At 40.5% G+C, this 17,667-nt stretch overlaps 1 long non-coding RNA gene across 5 annotated transcripts in view, besides 1 other annotated feature; it reads left to right on the forward strand.

The window, feature by feature from the left end:
- The window catches only part of LOC105370502 (uncharacterized), a 73,457-nt gene that overhangs the window by 12,530 nt on the left and 43,260 nt on the right, over nucleotides 1-17,667 (forward strand). For 2 of the 5 annotated variants that reach the window (XR_007064168.1, XR_007064170.1), the window contains 2 exons: nucleotides 6,489-6,610; nucleotides 8,326-8,393. This is a non-coding gene — a long non-coding RNA (uncharacterized LOC105370502). Of the gene's footprint in view, nucleotides 1-5,117; nucleotides 6,611-8,325; nucleotides 8,394-17,667 lie in introns of all 5 variants that reach the window. The other 3 variants (XR_001750966.2, XR_001750965.1, XR_007064169.1) reach the window with 2 other exon arrangements.
- Nucleotides 9,729-9,818: an enhancer, noted in NCBI's record as "active region_8403". NCBI's record gives its function as "activates an Ori minimal core promoter by ATAC-STARR-seq in GM12878 lymphoblastoid cells {active_cell/tissue: GM12878}" and the evidence as "EXISTENCE:reporter gene assay evidence [ECO:0000049][PMID:35858748]".

Genomic DNA, 17,667 nt, shown 5'->3' on the forward strand with positions numbered 1-17,667 from the left:
ATCCCTGATGCACATGGCCTCTGCTGCTGTGGCATTCCCCTGTTGGCTAGGGTTAGACCACACAGGCTAAACTAATTCCAATTGGCTAATTTAAAGAGAGTGACGGGGTAAGTGGTTTGGCGGGGAAAAATGGTTATGACAGAGTAGGTAATTGGAATGAGTCAATGTGGAGCAGGTAATCGGAATGAGTCAGGGTGGAGCAGGTAATCGGAATGAGTCAGGGTGGAGCAGGTAATCGGAATGAGTCAGGGTGGAGCAGGTAATCGGAATGAGTCAGGGTGGAGCAGGTAATCGGAATGAGTCAGGGTGGAGCAGGTAATCGGAATGAGTCAGGGTGGAGCAGGTAATCGGAATGAGTCGGTGGAGCAGGTAATCGAAAGACATTGCTTTATGAAGAAGTTAAGTTTAAAAGTAGAAGGCAAATAATTGAACATACTAACATATTGATTCTTTGAAAAGAAATTTAGAACTCATATCTAACAAAGGGACAGAGAATATTAGGATCACTGTCACCACAGACATTATCATCATGAGGAGCATTTGAAACTGCCATTGTGAAAGTATGACAGTAAGAGAAATCTGACGTAGTTAACTCCATCTTGCTTCTCACCTTTGAGTCGTCCTTGATTGTTCCTGAGCATAGGCCAAATTAACCTTGGGAGGAATTTAGTTTATAGTTTAACCTTTAAGCAAGGATGATAACAGCCCTTCCCAAAATTAAACTGCCTTTGAAAAAGCAATGAAAGGCCACGAGGTTAGGATTATGAGAGGGGTCTGCACTCTGCTAAGAGGTAGATGTAGTTTCTAATCCCTTACCATTCTGGGCTCATGTGGCCAGAGGTCACAAGGTTTGTGACCTTCCCAATTGCTCCTGTAGATAACATCACTGTTGTAGAACCTAATATGGGTGTTTTTGAGATGTTTTTCAAACTGAGTACACTTAAACTCCACTGATCCTGTGGCCCAAACCCAGAGATGGACTTGGTGCATGAAGATAGTTTTCCACACCCCTATGATTTCATCCCAACCAATCAGCAGCACCATTCCCTAGCACTCTGCCCACCAAATTGTCCATATAAACCCCTAACATCTGAGCCTTTAGGGTGACTGATGTGAGTGATAACTCCAGTTCTCCCATGTGGGCTGGCCTTGGGTCAATTAAACTTTTTCTCTACTTAATGCCATGGTCTCAGTGAATTGATTTTGTCTGTTCAGCAGGCAGGAAGAATTTGTAGGACGATTACATGTTTATCATAAATTCACCACTGCATGATGCCACATCAAGGAAAATGGGCAGAATAATTAACCATGAATGAAGACTGTGTAACCCATCAACATTTTCACAGAGCCCTGCAGACCTTTGTGCAAATCCTTTAACAGAACCTTGGTAGGATACTACATTGCAACAAAGACAAATTATGTGGATAAAGGGGCAGGAGAGTTGGTAATATTCTAAAAGTTAATTACTATATATATATATATATATATATATATATATATATATATATATTTATTTATTTCTATCTCCTTACCTTTAAGATCTTCATAAAAGGAAAGTGGGAAGCACTGCACTGTAGTTCAGTGGTGTGGTATAATATGAAATACAAGCAGTATCTTTGATCTTTGTCTCCAGTTCCTGACACACTTGGAATTTCCTGAGTTACAGAAATGTCTTTTGTTATTCATAGGGAGCCCCTTAGATAACGAGGAAGTTTATGCTAATAAAGTGATTTAGGGTAGGGCCCCTAGATAGCCTCAGGATAGGGCCAAATCACCAGAAAGACCAAGCGATTAGAGGATTAGAGGGTTGGAAGTTTCAGCATCAACCTCCAGGAAAGGGGGTGGGGCTGGACATTAAGTTCTAAAAACTCCCCAACAAGGATTGAGCTTCAGATAGCTGAACAAGTGGAAGTTCCTGGAGGGTGGTGCCCAGGAGAGGGCATGGAAGGCCTGCACCTCCCCCAACACCTCACCCCATGATTCTCTTCATCTGGTGTTCCTTTTTATCTTTTTAAAATATCCTTCATCAATAAACTGGCAAATGTAAGTAGTGTTTCCCCGAATTCTGTGAGCTACTCTTGCAAATTAATTGAACCTGAGGAGGGGCTAGAGGGAGCCCTGACTTATAGCTTGTCAGTCATCAGTATAGGTGACAACCTACTACTTCAGATTGGCATCTGAAGTAGGGAGCAGTCTTGTGGGATTGAGCCCTCAGTCTGTGGGATCTGACACTATCTCTAAGTAGACAGTGCCGGCTTGAGTTAGAACACACCCAGCTGGAGACACTACTGGAGAATTGCTTGGTATGTGGGGAAAAACCACAACACATTTGGTCATAAAAGTGTTCCATGAGTGTGTGAGAAGGAGAAAAATAGCTTAATTTTCCGTTTTAGAAGTGGTTTCTAGATACTTTTATTTGTAATGCTTGTTCCTTGGTGCTGTAAAGAAATAGCACTTGAACACAAATTTAATTTCCTCAGCAATGCCATTTTTATACTTTCTGCAGAAAGGGCACACTCGCCAGCAGTTTTGCCACGAGAATGCACCAAACAAAGGAGACAGGGTCATTTATAACCTGATGGTCCACTTTACTGCTGTGTCCAGTTTCCATTGGCTGGAATGGGACCTCACATTCTGTATTTGTCCTGATTGGCTAGCAACTTAGAACTTTTTAAAAGAGGCAAGGGCAGAGGAGAACAAAGGAAGGTGGCAGTAACTTGTGGAATGCTGAAAAAGGTAAAAACACCTTCAAATAAGAGGAACAGGCTATAACCTAATGCTTGCTTGGACTAGTGTAAGCATGCCAGGGCAAATATTTAGGCTAAATTATGGGAGCTAAGAACATAAAGTACACTGATTTCTTTATTACGGCTAGCAGATATTTAAGAATGTTAGCACAGATCTTTGAATAAATTTTGCTTCTAAGAGAAGTTACTATTTATTCTTAATTAGATGGGGAGGAAAGTCTTTGAAGAGAAACCTCTACTTTACTTTTTATGCTTTGTTTTTTACGCATCGGTTATATTTAAAAACAAAAATTGGAGGGGCAATTATAATTTGCCAACTTTTAATTTCATCAGATAAGGAAATTAAAAAAGGGATTTACTAGAAACAATTGATATAATTTTATGAAGAGACAGTTTAATACCAAAGTGATAAAGTGGATATAATTCCAGAATAAACAATGGTCTTTCAAACTGAATAATAGTGGCTAACATTTATTGAACACATAGGCAAGATGCTGATCTAAATTATTTGAATGTACTCTTTTACTCACACAACATTATGAGATGGGTACTGTTATTGTTCCCATTTTATAGATAAGGACATTGAGGTACAAAGAGGTAATATGTTCTAAGTCATATAGTAATGTCAGAATTTGGATTTATTTCTCCAAAGTCCATGGTTTTAAAAACTATGCGATAATCTTTAATAAGGCCTTATACATTTAGCTTCCCTAAAAAAGTGGTTGGTTATGTTTTAATTTGTTTGTATTGCCATAACAAACTACCATAGACTGGGTAGCTTATGAACAAGAAAAAATTTTTTTTTTTTTTTTGAGACAGAGTTTTGCTCTTGTCACCCAGGCTGGAGGGCAATGGCGTGATCTTGGCTCACTGCAACCTCTGCCTCCCAGGCTCAAGCGATTCTCCTGCCTCAGCCTCCTAGTAGCTGGGATTACAGGCATGCACCACCATGCCCTGCTATTTTTTTTTATTTTTAGTAGAGATGGGGTTTCACCATGTTGACCAGGCTGGTCTCAAACTCCTGACTTCAGGTGATTCTCCTGCCTTGGCCTCCCAAAATGCTGGGATTACAGGTGTGAGCCACTGCACCCGGCCAAGAAATTTATTTCTCATAGGTCTGGAGGCTGGAAGTCCAAGATCAAGGTGCCTGTAGATTCAGGGTCTGGGAGGGCCCATTTCCTGGTTCACAGCCTGCTGCCTTCTTGCTGTGTACTCACATAGTGGAAGGGGTGAGGTCTCTCTCAGGTCTGTTATACAAGGGCACTCATCCCATTTTTTAGCGGTGTGACTCCATGATTTAATCATCTCTCAAAGGCCCCACCTCTTAATACCATTACCGTAGGGGTTAGGATTTCAACATATGAATTTAGGGGGAACACAAACATTCTGACCACAGGAGTTACATAATTTATTTTTCTCATTTTGACATCAACGGGTATAAAAAAGTGGTCTCAGACCTGCACTAGTTTGAAAATCAGGGTCTCTCCTGAAGAACGGGCAAGAGATTGGCAGTGATCTTGGAAGGCCAGAGTAAGCCTGGACCTTAGCTATGAGGGGCCTCAGATTAAGACTCTTGATGTTATCCTCAAACATTGTTATTCATACAGACACCTAGAGACACCACCTGATTTAAAAGACAAATCATTCAACAAACTTCTGGTATATCATTATCAGAAATATCACCCATAGTACAGTATGACTTGTTTTTCAAAGTAAATTTTATAATTATCTTCTGAGAAATACCATTCTACTGGCATTGGAACCACACTGTGAGGGAGAGAGTACTTCTTTCCCACTCCTGTTTCCATGGAAGGAATAGATGATCCACTCCCTTCCCCAGCAGAGAAAGGCATGGCAGGACACATTTTATCTTCTGCTCTCTCTCTCTTCCTTCAAGGAGATGTGATAACTTACCTGACTGGTGAAGTCACTTAGCTCAGTGCCTTTTGGGTTTGTCTTGCAGAGCCAGTCTATACCTAGAATGCCTACATTTTCTGCTCTTCTCTGTGGTCTGCCTGCTGAAGCATCTCTGCCCATAAGGAGAGGCAAATTCAATTTGGGGAGGGGTGTTAATAAGCCCCTTTGGTTTTATATCTAAAGTCACATTATCCAATGAGTTTTATCTGTTTTAAAGTTAACAATTTGATATTTATTTTTCTGTCTTCTGTGTTTTATTTCTGATTTGATTACATATTTTGGAAGGGAATAAAGTAGCTGTTATTTAAGCCCTAAACTCCAAAATGATGTGGCATCATACACTTGTGAGAGGGAGTTGGGAAGGGGCCTTAAGAGGCCATCTGAAACATGCCTAAGCTAAAGACCTTTTCAGAATAATCATCCTTATTTTTTTATTTTTTTTTTTATTTTTAGCACTTACTATGTCATAGGCACTGAACCACAAGCCTTCTGCAGGAATGATCTCATTTAATTCTTACAGCAATCCTATGAGATAAGTAGTACTGATATTACCATTTTACTAATTAGAAACTTGAAGCTTGGCGAGGTTAAATAATATGTCCAAAGTTGCAGAATGATTCAGTAGCAGAGGCTCATTGAGGGGCAAACAAGATCAATCCAATCCCATTCCTGTGTGAAGAAGACAGACATTAAACAATTAACCAAATAAATAATTGATGATAGCTGTAATGAGTGCTATGACAGGTGCTGAGCCAAGGCATAACTTCTGTTCTGAGGGTTCAAGGAAAGCATTGTTCCCTGACAAAATGACATTCAGTCATGGACTCCCACAGTGCTTAGGAGCTGGCAAGGCAAAGGCTTGGGTAGGATGGTTGGGATGAAAGTAAGAATGAGGAGTGAACAGTATTCTAGCTGGGAGGGTCCAAAGTGGGAAGGGGCATGGCAGACCATGGAACTGAGAGAAGGCCAGCAGGCAGGCTGCAAAGAGGGTGAGGGAGGAGGCAGCACCAGATGAGATTGGAAAGCCAGGTTGGGGTGTCATGATAGAGGCTTTGTAGCCATGAGAAAATGTTGGGCCAGGCCAGGTGTGGTGGCTCACACCTGTAATCTCAGCACTTTGGGAAGCCTAGGCAGGAGGATTGCTTCAGGCCAGGAGTTTGAGACCAGCTTGGACAACATTATGAGACCTCATTTCTACAAAAGATAAAATTAAGAAAAAAATTAGCATGGTGACATATGCCTGTAGTCCCACCTACTTTGGTGGCTGAGTCTCCCACTTGGGTCTGGGAGATCGAGTTAGCAGTGAGCTGTGATTGTGCCTCTGCACTCCACCTGGGTGACAGATCCTATCTCAAAAAATAAGCAAACAAAACAAAGAATGTTGGGCCGTATCTTAGGAACAAAGCAATGCCATTGAAAGGTTTCATAAAGTCAGTGGCATTTGTGCTTATTTCTCTCTGAATGTCCTCCTGCTATTTTCTGAGCTTTGAATTCTGACTACATTAGAGAGAAATTTTCTGTTAAGATGCTAGTCTCTCTTTAACATCTCGTGTGTGTGTGTGTGTGTGTGTGTGTGTGTGTGTTTTATGAACTACTAATCTCCCTCTTAATAAAGGACAGGGTATATGAAGACTATTCAATAGTTGTCATCCTTGGCTGCACCTTCAAATCACCTAAAAAAAAATTTTAAACACTGATACAAGGCCATACTGAAGACCAATTAAATCTGAATCTCTAGGCATGGGAGCCACACATCAGTAGTTTTTAGACCTAGCAGCCTCTGTAATTCAATTTAACAAATGTTTATTGAACCCCTAAATCCAGGCCCTGTGTTAGATGCTGCACAAAGATGAATAAGTGTGAACAGCTGTCAACTATTCCAAAGTTGTAGCTGCTACAGCTGCTATAAAAGGCAGCGAGTCTGAGGCTGCCCCAGGAATCAGGAGGTAATTAAAAGCATCCTTGAAGTCAGTGAAAATAACAACGCATGCGATTACATGTCCGCAGTGTCTCTCCTGGTCTATTCACTGCATTACCACTTGAAAACCTCAGAAATCAGCAACTCCAAGCCAAGAGAGTGGATACTCATTCTCATGGTATCGTGTGTGATGATTCAGATGAGTCCAGGTAACCTGCTGCTTGCTTGCCTGGGAGAGTTAGTTGGAGAAAGAAGGCAACACATCCAGTTATTCAAATATTTATTGAGCACCTATGTTGTGCTAGACACTGGGGCTACAAATCTTATCCACCTTTCCCAAACTCGTTGTTCACAGAAAACAAGGAATCTAATCTGTTTTTTTAGTTTATTGTATAAGAATGACATGCCTTCTGATTGTATTTCAAAAGGCTGATCTGTGGATAAAAATAGGTAATAAATATTCAAGTGCTTTGGGAAAAAAAAGAATTCATGATGCATCATGAAATTCTGCATCTTGAATCATGAAACCATAACCTTCAAGGTTGGCTATTTATGCTATTGATTTTGAAACATATTTTCAGAGACCAGGAATGATTTCTTTTTCTCGTTTTATGAATTTTCTAGCATTGTATCAGGCAGAATAAGGCATTTAACCAATGTTATTTTGATTATGATTAAATGACTATTCAAGCTAGAAAGGATACATTTTTTTTTCTGAACAAACTTTAACAAAAAAAAAGACATTCCATTATGAAACAGAACAAATGTTGAGGCCAGTACAGATTTGAAAGTTTTAAAAGAATGTAGAATCATGTCTCATTTTTAAAGCTCTAGATATAGCCTAAGTTTGCAATGGCCTCTGGGAGCTTGAATTCTAGGATTTCAACCAGAATAAGATAGGAAGACATCTTTGTTTAATAAATATTCAAGTTTCCATTTAAGTGCCTTAAGTGCTTCTCTTACTTGGCTCCACTTTGAGATAACGTGAGAGAAAATAAAGACATATTTCATAGCTTAGAGATTCTTAGATGGGAGGTGGAAAGAATCCAGAAGTCTATCCAGAATGACCTAGAGAATTTCATTGGAGAGCACCTGCCAGGCCTGGGATGGGGTGGTGGTGTGGGGTATAACTGGGGATGGGGGACTGGCATGGATGCTTTTCATTTTCTTTTACTTTTTTTTTTTGAGATGGAGTCTTGCTCTGTCACCCAGGCTGGAGTGCAGTGGCGTGATCTCGGCTCACTGCAACCTCCACCTCCCAGGTTCAAGTGATTCTCCTGCCTCAGCCTCCTGAGTAGCTGCGACTACAGGCACCCGCCACCACACCCAGCTAATTTTTGTATTTTTAGTGGAGACGGGGTTTCACCATGTTGGCCAGGATGGTCTCAATCTCCTGACCTCATAGTCCGCCCACCTCAGCCTCCCAAAGTGCTGGGATTACAGGCATAAGCCACTGCGCCTGGCCCATGGATGCTTTTAAGAAGCTCTCCTAATGGTTCTGATGCCTATTCTAGTTCAGAACCACTTATCAAGTCCAATTACTCTGTTTTATAGATGAAGAAACTAAGACCCAGAGATCTGAAGTGAGCTATTCAAAGTCTCACAGCTAGTTAGTGACAGAACTTAATATTATGCTTTCTATTATACCACATAGATTTCTATATTTCTGCTTACATTGCTATTGCCTCAGTTCCACTGGCACAGCCTTTGCTCTGTAAATAATTCAAACGTATTTCTTCTCAGGTGTTGTATAAGAGGAGAACTTAGCTCTGAATGGACTAGTATACCTGATCACCAGCAGCAGTTAAAAGGTATGATTATATATGCCTCAAACAATCATCTAATAAAAGATAGGAGTTTAATGGTCTTCAAGGATCTAGAATTAAAAGGAAACTGAAAAATCATTCACTTGGGGTGTATGTGTGTGTGTCTGTGTATAATATGTTATATATATTTATATAGAAAATTATATATATATATATAATTTTTAACGGGGACTGAATCTTGCTAAGTCCTCAGGACTGGTCTTGAACGATTCTCCCGCATCAGCCTCCCAAAATGCTGGGATTACAGGTGTGAACCACTGTGCCCAGTTTGTTTTTTCTTTTTTCGTGGAAAGTACACACTCAAAAAGGGGGAGTGTGGGTGTACTCAAGAGAGAGTCGCCCACTTGGTTTAAAAAACAGAACTCTGTTATAATACAGCCTTTTTTGTTCTACTCTGACTTTAGAAGTGAAATATACTTATGTTAATTAAATAATATCAAAAAACCATAACATTATGTTTGAAGACCACATTTAAAATTTTCTCCTTTTTTTTTTTTTTTTTTTCAAATAGGTTCTTACAGGGTCTTGCTCTGTCACCCAGGCTAGAATTCAGTGGCATGATCGCTTCTCACTGCAGCCTTGACCTCCCAGGCTCAAGCCATCCTCCCACCTTAGCCCTTGGAGTAGCTGGGACTGCAGGTGCATGTCACCATGCCTGGCTATTTTTTTTTTAAGTTTTTATAAAGAGAGGATCTCACTATGTTGCCCAGGTTGGTCTCAAACTCTTGGGCTCAAGTAACCCTCCAACCTTGCCTCCCAAAATGTTGGGATTACAGGTGTGAGCCACCATGCCTGGCCTAAAATTTTCTTTATAATATAGTAATGTGGTATAGGCACTTTCTTCCCACCTGCTGCTAAAAATTGGGAGATAATTTACCCTCCATCTCAATTTTAAGTATGATCAGAATTATATATCTAATTGAACTAAATACACATTGAGTAGAAAGTTATGTCACAGTTCGAATTTCACTCATATTCTGACTTATATCCATTTTGAAATACTCGAGATTAGTATACACAACACTATTTATTCTAGTGTTAAATATGAATAGTTCCAGTGAAACTGCAAGTATGTTTGTTTCAACAGCTCCGGTTTATAAGCTGACTAATGTGTTTTTGTGCACCTCTTGGCTCTGCTCTTTCTAAAACTGCAATTGCCCAGCTGGCTTAGCACAGGGGTAGGCTGAAAGAGCAGTGTGGGTGGGAGGTGTGTGTGTGGGTGTGTGTGTGTGTGTGTGTGTGTGTATGATGGAAAAAGAGACAAGGTTAGAATAGGGAGTTCCACTGAACTACTGTGAGTAATCAGTTATGCTACTATGACTTCCAGGTTCCCATTCAGTGAATAACCCTTTACTTTCTTCTGTCCTATGCAGCTTTCTCCTTTTTATTTCTTAGAGATACAATGTTATACCACTGATGTTAGCTTAAATTATTCGTAGTACCATAAAAAGCATTAAACACCAAGTAACAAAGGGCCAAATTTCCAGATGCTCAAAACCTTGAGAAAAATAAAATCCATACCATGAAGCTATCTGTGATTCCTTCCTCAAAGTATGACCCTTCCTGGACCCTTATAGAACTTTGCCTGCGCCCTTGTAAGGCCACATGCCATCTTCTGCTTTGTACCCTTAACTCCAGAATACAATATAATTGTGTTGCAGCCAGTATGTATTTCCCATAGTCCCTAATCTGATTCCTTGTACATAGTAGGCACTCATAAAGGAGTGTCAGAAGACTGTATTTTTAAGATTAACTTGGGGAGGGGGGGTCTCTATTGATAAAGGAAGTGGCATAAAACATTTATGAAAGGCTTAAATGTACTGGTTTCATTAAAGAGCTATTCTCACATTACATAGGCATCAAATAGATGATTCAAGAGGGAACAGGTTTCTTTCAATTGGTACGTCATGTCATGGGGCTTTGAAAGGAGATACACTTAATAATCTAGAAAGCTCTTAAGAGAAGCTCCCTAGCTCTTTAGGAAAGTTAAAAATAGGAAAGGTGAAGACCACAATGAAAACGTTTATGGAGGTTCTCTTTACCTCTATCTCTGATATATTAAATAATGTTCCAATTTGACAACCTCTCAGAGATAAAATAACCTGGCTCCAACTATCAACTCCCTGAGGTTCTCTACCTCCCTGGTTCTAAAAGTAAGGTTCTGAACCAACAACCAACAGTTCATTCCCTGTGGGAATTTGTGAGGAATGCAAAATTTCTGGCCCCATCCTGGACTTAACTGAATCAGGAACTCTGGGGTGGAGCCCAGCCATCTGATTATGACAAGCCTTCCATGTGGTTCTATTGCAAGCTAAAGTTTGAAAACCACTGCTTCACCCTGACCCTTCCAGACTGCAGTGCACTAGTAGCTCTGGTCACCTGGGAAATGCTCCCTTAGGCCTTAGGCTCTTGAACAGAGGAGAAAATAAATGTTTGTGAAGAGGGAATGAAGCTTACCTTCTTTTTTGTCCTGTTAAAATAAAAATACCCTGTCTCTCCACTAAAATAACACCTTAATTATGTATTCTAATCTTAATAGGGATTTGCCAATTCAGCTGAGAGCTAGAATAGTGCTTAGTTGAACACTGACTTGATCTGGTATGCACTGGACTGAGCCAGCCTAAATTGACGTTTGTCTTCTGTCAGGGAGGAAGGAAGAAGGTTTATATATGATCGATTGTGTTACTACACTCCTTCTTCCAGGCCAGAAAGTAAGATAATCAATCATATAAACTATTTTTAGAAGTGTGTTTAATTTACATAAGAGAAAATATCAGACTTGCAAGAGGCCTTAGAAACCTATGATGATTTTTCTGCTCTCCTCATTTTACTAAGTTCTCACAGCTAGTTGGTGATAGAGTCAGGACCACACACCAAGTTGTTATCATTCATAAAGGAGTGCTTGTTCCAGGGATTCTAACGAACAGCCTGCAGTGCCAGGAATACCTTTTATCACTCAACATTTATTTACATTTCAACATTTTCCTTATGCTAAAGGGATGGCAAGTCTAAATTTAAGGTAGACCAAAGATGAAAAGCTAACATCTTGCCCTCAAGGAATTCACAGTCATCTTAATATCTGTTGAAGTTCTAGTTGAAGAGCTAATTATACTCATTCATTGTTTTGTCAAATAATCCCAGAAAAGTGGCTAAAAATCTGTTGGATTGAAACCACCTTTGCAAAATTATGACAGAGACAATGAAAGATCTAACTTAATTGGCTTCATCTTGTTTCTAACCTCCAAATTGTCCTTGTTCATTCCTGGGTGTAGGCTGAACTAACTTTGGGAGAAACTTAGTTTATGGCTTGTAGTTTAAAACAAAGATGATAACAGCCTTTTCCCAAAGCAGACCTCCTTCCTGCCCGGGGAATAGATTGACTTTGTAGGACTTACTTTAGCCTCATCTGATTTTGTGGTCCCCACTCAGGAACTGACTCAGCACAAGGCAGCTTCGACTCCCTATGATTTCATCCCTGACCGTCAGCACTCCTGGCTCACTGGTTTCCCCCAACCCACCAAGTTGTCCTTAAAAACTCTGCTCCCGAATGCTCGGGGAGACTGATTTGAGTAATAATCAAACTCCGGTCTCCTGCACAGCTGGCTCTGCGTTAATTACTCTTTATTGCAATTCCCCTGTCTTGATAAATCAGCTCTGTCTAGGCAGTGGGCAAGGTGAACCCATTGGGTGGTTACAGTATTAGTTATAATTATTTTGGTTGCAAGAAATAGAAACCTACCTGAGCCAGCTTAAGCAATTGATTACAGCGGGATCAAAGAAAGATGAACAAGCAGGCCTCAAAAGGGTAGGAACTGGGATGTGGAGCATTGTAATGTGCCTAGGAAGTCCCCTTTCTGGGTCTCCTTCTGCTCTGCCTCTGCCTACTCATGAATATCATTCTTTCAGGGAGCAGCATGGTATTTTTCTGTCTCACAGAATACATGGGAGTAAAAAAAAAGCCACAGTCAGTCATGAGTTTGTATACATGTATGTATTTATTTATTTATGAGACAGAGTCTTGCTCTATTGCCCAGGCTGGAATGCAGTCATGCAATCTCGGCTCACTGCAACCTCTGCCTCCTGGGTTCAAGTGATTCTCATGCCTCAGCCTCCCAAGTAGCTGGGATTACAGACATGCACCACCACACCCAGCTAAATTTTGCATTTTTAGTAGAGATGTGGTCTTGCCATGTTGGCCAGGCTGGTCTTGAACTCCTGCCCGCAAGTGATCCACCTGCTTCAGACTCCCAAAGTGCTGGGATTACAGGCTTGAGCAACTGTGGCTGGTCAGTCATGAGTTTTATATGTTGAGTATAGAAATGCCCACTGAAACGCTCAATAGTCTTCTTCTCTTTCTTCTTTTTTTTAGAGACAAGGTCTCATTATGTTATGTTGCCCAAGCTGGTCTCAAACTCCTGGGTTCAAGCAATCCTTCTGCCTCAGCCTCCTAAGTAGCTGGGACTACAGGCATGAGCCAGCATGCCCAGCTTTCTTTTTTTATTTTTAACTAATTTTTAAAAACTAAGTTTAAACTAAAAAGGAGAAAAGAGCTTTATTGAGATATAATTCACGAATTCACATAGCATAAAGTTAACAAAGTATACAATTGAGTGCTTTTTGGTAAAATTGATCCTTATTATTCATGGATTCTGAATTTGTGAATTTACCTATGAGCTAACATTTATTTGTAACCCCAAAAATCAAGATGTATCACACTTTCCTAGTCATTTGAAGATGTGTGCAGAGTGGCAAAAAATTTGAGTCACTGGATATGCGTATTCCAAGCTAAGTGTGAGCAAGACAATGCTCTGCCTTCTGGTTTCAAGTCATACTATAGACAAGGGTCCTTTTCATGGTCAACAGAACCAGAGGAGCTGTTACCTGGACATTCTGATAAAAGAATTGCTATATATGATTATAAGTAGCAAAACTCATTTAATTTATCATGCAAAAGTAACTATTTACCAATTCACACTGACTTCTAAATTAAAGTGAGTTAAGGATGGGTTTACTTTTTCTAATTTAACAACTCAAGGAATTTTATTTTTACATTCAAAAAGTTTTCTTTGGGCTGGGCGCTGTGGCTCACGCCTGTAATCCCAGCACTTTGGGAGGCTGAGGTAGGTGGATCACGAGGTCAAGAGATGGAGATCATCCTGGCCAACATGGTGAAACCCCGTCTCTACTAAAAATCCAAAAAATTAGCTGGATGTGGTGGTGCGTGCCTGTAGTTCCAGCTACTTGGGACGCTGAGGAAGGAGAATCGCTTGAACCTGGGAGGCGGAGGTTGCAGTGAGCTGAGATCGTGCCACTGCACTCTAGCCTGGCAACAGAGCAAGACTCCATCTCAAAAAAAAAAAAAAAAGTTTTCTTCTTTTTCCTTTTTCACTAGATAATCTTCCTTGAGAATGAACACTTACATGGTTCTGACTATTGGCCAGGTACTTTTCTAAGTGCTTTATTTGCTCATCGGATATTTTTTAAGTGTCAGGTAGTCTTTTTTTTTTTTTTATTTGAGACGGAGTCTCACTCTGTCGCCCACACTGGAGTGCAGTGGCGCGATCTCGGCTCACTGCAAGCTCCGCCTCCTGGGATCACGCCATTCTCCTGCCTCAGCCTCCCGAGTAGCTGGGACTACGGGCGCCCGCCGACACGCCTGGCTAATTTTTTTGTATTTTTAGTAGAGACGGGGTTTCACTGTGTTAGCCAGGATGGTCTTGATCTACTGACCTCGTGATCCGCCCACCTCCGCCTCCCAAAGTGCTGGGATTACAGGCTTGAGCCACCACCCCCGGCCAGTGTCAGGTAGTCTTCTAAGTGTTTTGGATGCATCAGTGAAAAAGAAAAACAAAAATTTTTTTGCTTTTGGGGAGTGAGCAGATTGACAGTAAACCATAACCACAGTAAATGAGATATAATATGTTAGAAGGTGAAAAGTGTGATGGAAAAAATAGAGTAGGTTAAAGGATATCAGGAGTTGAGTTTACTCCCAAGAGATGGCATTAATCAATTCCTGAGGGATCTGCCCCTATGCCCGAGATTGCACCACTGCACTCAGCCTGGGCAAACACCACCCACTAGGCCCCATCTCCGAACACTGGCAATAAAACTTCAACATGAGTTTTGGTGGGGACAACCCATCTTCAAACCATAGCACCATCTTCAGACACGTGATGCTCAATCATGGCAACCCACAAGGGTAATGAAGAGGTGGATTGATCACGTCCCAGATGTTAAGCATCGCACCCTGCAGGTCAGGCTTAAAAATGACTACAAGAGAGAACACAGAAGTGAAGCCATCTATAGACAAACAGCATGTCTTCTACATTAACATGACTTTACCATTTAATTGTTTTAATCAAGATAGCTTTATTATTTCAGGATACTCTTAGAAACATAAAAATCGCAATTAACTATATTTTCCATTTCAAGAACTTTGTTAAAATTTTATTTAAATAAGCATCATGATAATTTGCTCTCCAAGAGTTTCTAAAACCTTTGCTTTAAAACCCCTACCTTGCTACGTACACAAATTATGATTATAACGTGATTCTTACCCAGTATTAATCAAACCGCCCCCTATTGGAAGACCTGTCTTAAACTCAATCTGTAAGCCCCAAAAACGTCCTGACTTTGCATTTCTGCTCCAAGATACTACTGATAATTTATCTCACTACTAAGGTAGTGCTCTCCAATACTGCAGTAATTAATAAACCTCAGCTTTGCCTTATCAATAGATTAGTTTGGTTGTATTCTGAGGGAGCACATATTCAACAATATTTGGCCTGGGCACCTGCCAGTCGGACGACATGCTGGCTGTGTCACGGGAGCAGGTCCTGGAAACCCTGCCGTGCCTAGAAATACCCTTTAGTTAATGGATTGTGGGAGAGGTAAGGGTGGCTCCAAGGGTGGAGGAGAGTTGGGGTGGGTGGGTCTGGTGGGTGGAGCAGTGTTTTGGGCAGCATCTGTGTACCAACTGGCTTAGAAGTATTTCAGTGCTTTGACAACTGGCTAAAACATTATCCTGGCTATAGTTGGTGGGTACCAGTTAAATATTGATCCTTGGTGAAATGATCAAAAGAGCAGATGGGAAAAAGTATGACTCATGGATGCCAGCATGTATAGATACCTATTCTAGGGAATAGGTGTATTTGTCTATTGAATGCCTTGCCAAACTCTAAACCCCCTGAAACTTAAAAGTAACCCTGGGAAGTAGGACATCAAATTGGTGAAGATTAAGTTTTGCCACTTGGTTGAATATAAATTCCATGTAGATATTATATCTAGCTCTAGAGAAATAAAGTGACATTCTTAAAAATACATTTCAGTTTTTTGGACTGAAATTTAGAAGTGCTATGTATACATTTTTTCTTTATATAAGTGAGATCACACTTTTTCCCACTTAAGAAGTCTATAATATAGCTTTTCAGTGACCTACCTCATTTTTCAATATGGTTGCATAGTATTTTGCGTAGTGTTTTATGGTATGAATGTACTAGGTTTTATATAACCACTTCTATGATGGACATTTACATTATTGTAGTCATATTGCCATGGGAAACACTGCTGTAAAAAATATCCTTTTATATACATCTGAGGAAAAATTCCTACAAGTAGAATTTCTGAATCATTTATTGCCTAATTACCTATCAAAAAGGTTGTATCAATTTACTTTTCACACTAACAATGTATGAAAGTTGTATTTCCTGTTATTATTACCAACACTAGGTGCAATAGTTAATGTTAGGTGTCAACTCGATTGGATTGAAGGATGTCTAGATAGCTTGTATTTGTGGTGTGCTATGGGGAATGAAGAAAGTAGTGAAGAAAGTAGTATTTCCCACCAGGGCAGAGAGAGGTGGCAGCAGCTAGCAGGATACAGGGGACTACAGGGAAGTGGGCTGCAGAGTGGACACACCAGAACAGCCTACCTCCTCCCCATTTCCCCTACCTCAAACACACCCAGAGAATGTAAGCTCCATGAGGGCAGTACTTTTTTTTTTTTAACCTGCTTTTCATGTTATATTTCTAGTGCCTAGAATAAGAGCTTGACACATTGAGTAACAGTAGTTACTCAATAAAAAGTTGTTGGAATGAATGAACAAAAATCCTAGCAGAGGTTCTGAACCACCTACAGTGCTTGGAATGGGGGTTTGAGCTGGAGCATTTGGATGTTAAAGCAAAAGGTGAACCCAGAAAGATGGAGACTTGAGAATCTAGTGTTCATTTATCAGCCCTGAATCTTGGCTGCTTCAGCTCTGGTCTCTTATGTGAGATGTCTGTTGTGTCTATCTGAATTTATTCTCTATGGATAAGCAATTTGTGATACTGCAGTGATGGAGAGCTCTTTAAAATCCCTAATTGCTTCCTAAATGGAATCTCAGCTACAAATGGATCTTTCAGTGCATATTACCATGACATTTCCTATGTAAGTCTGTAACCACCCAATGGGTTCATTTTGCCTGCTGCCCAGATAGAGCTGATTTATCAAGACAGAGAAATTGTAAAGAGAAAGAGTTTAATTCACACAGAGCTGACTGAATGGGAGACTAGGGTTTTATTATTACTCAAATCAGCCTCTCCTGAAATTCAGAGGTAGGGTTTTTCAAGGATAGTTTAGTGGGCCAGGGAATGGGTGCCACTGATTAGTTGGGGATGCAATCACAGGGGTGTGAAAAACAGCCCGCTTCTGGGTGGGGGCCACAGGATGGTTTGGTGGGTCTGGGTGGAGCCATCATCCTCAGAAATAGAAAAATCTGAAAAGACAGCTCAAATGGCCAATCTTAGGTTCTATGACAGTAATGTTATCTGCAGGAGTAATTAGGGAAGTTGCAAATCTTGTGACATAAATAATAATGGCTGATAATCGTTTATGTCCACACCAAAGCAGAATTCAGGCTCCTCTCATCCTCCTAACTTGGTGGTCTGTCACTAGCTTTACAAAGGCAGTTTAGTTTTGGGGGAGGGCTATTATCATTTAAACTATAAATATCTCTCAAAGTTAGCTTGGCCCAAGCCCAGGAATGATTAAGGGAAGTTTGGGGGTTAAAGGCAACACAGGGGTTGGTTAGATGATATCTCTTTCAGTGTCTTAATTTTCTCACTGTTATATTTGCAAAGGTTGGTTCAAGTCTGTTAAATCAATCCCTCAGGGATGTTACACTTACAATGTGGTGGGTTTGGGGGCTCAAGAGTGGCATCTCAACAAGAAATGGCCATTGTAAGTCCTACAAGATGAGAATTAGAGACCTGATGAAGA

The sequence above is a fragment of the Homo sapiens genome, chromosome 14 (assembly GCF_000001405.40).
Source record: "Homo sapiens chromosome 14, GRCh38.p14 Primary Assembly".
Classification (NCBI taxonomy): Eukaryota; Metazoa; Chordata; class Mammalia; order Primates; family Hominidae; genus Homo; species Homo sapiens.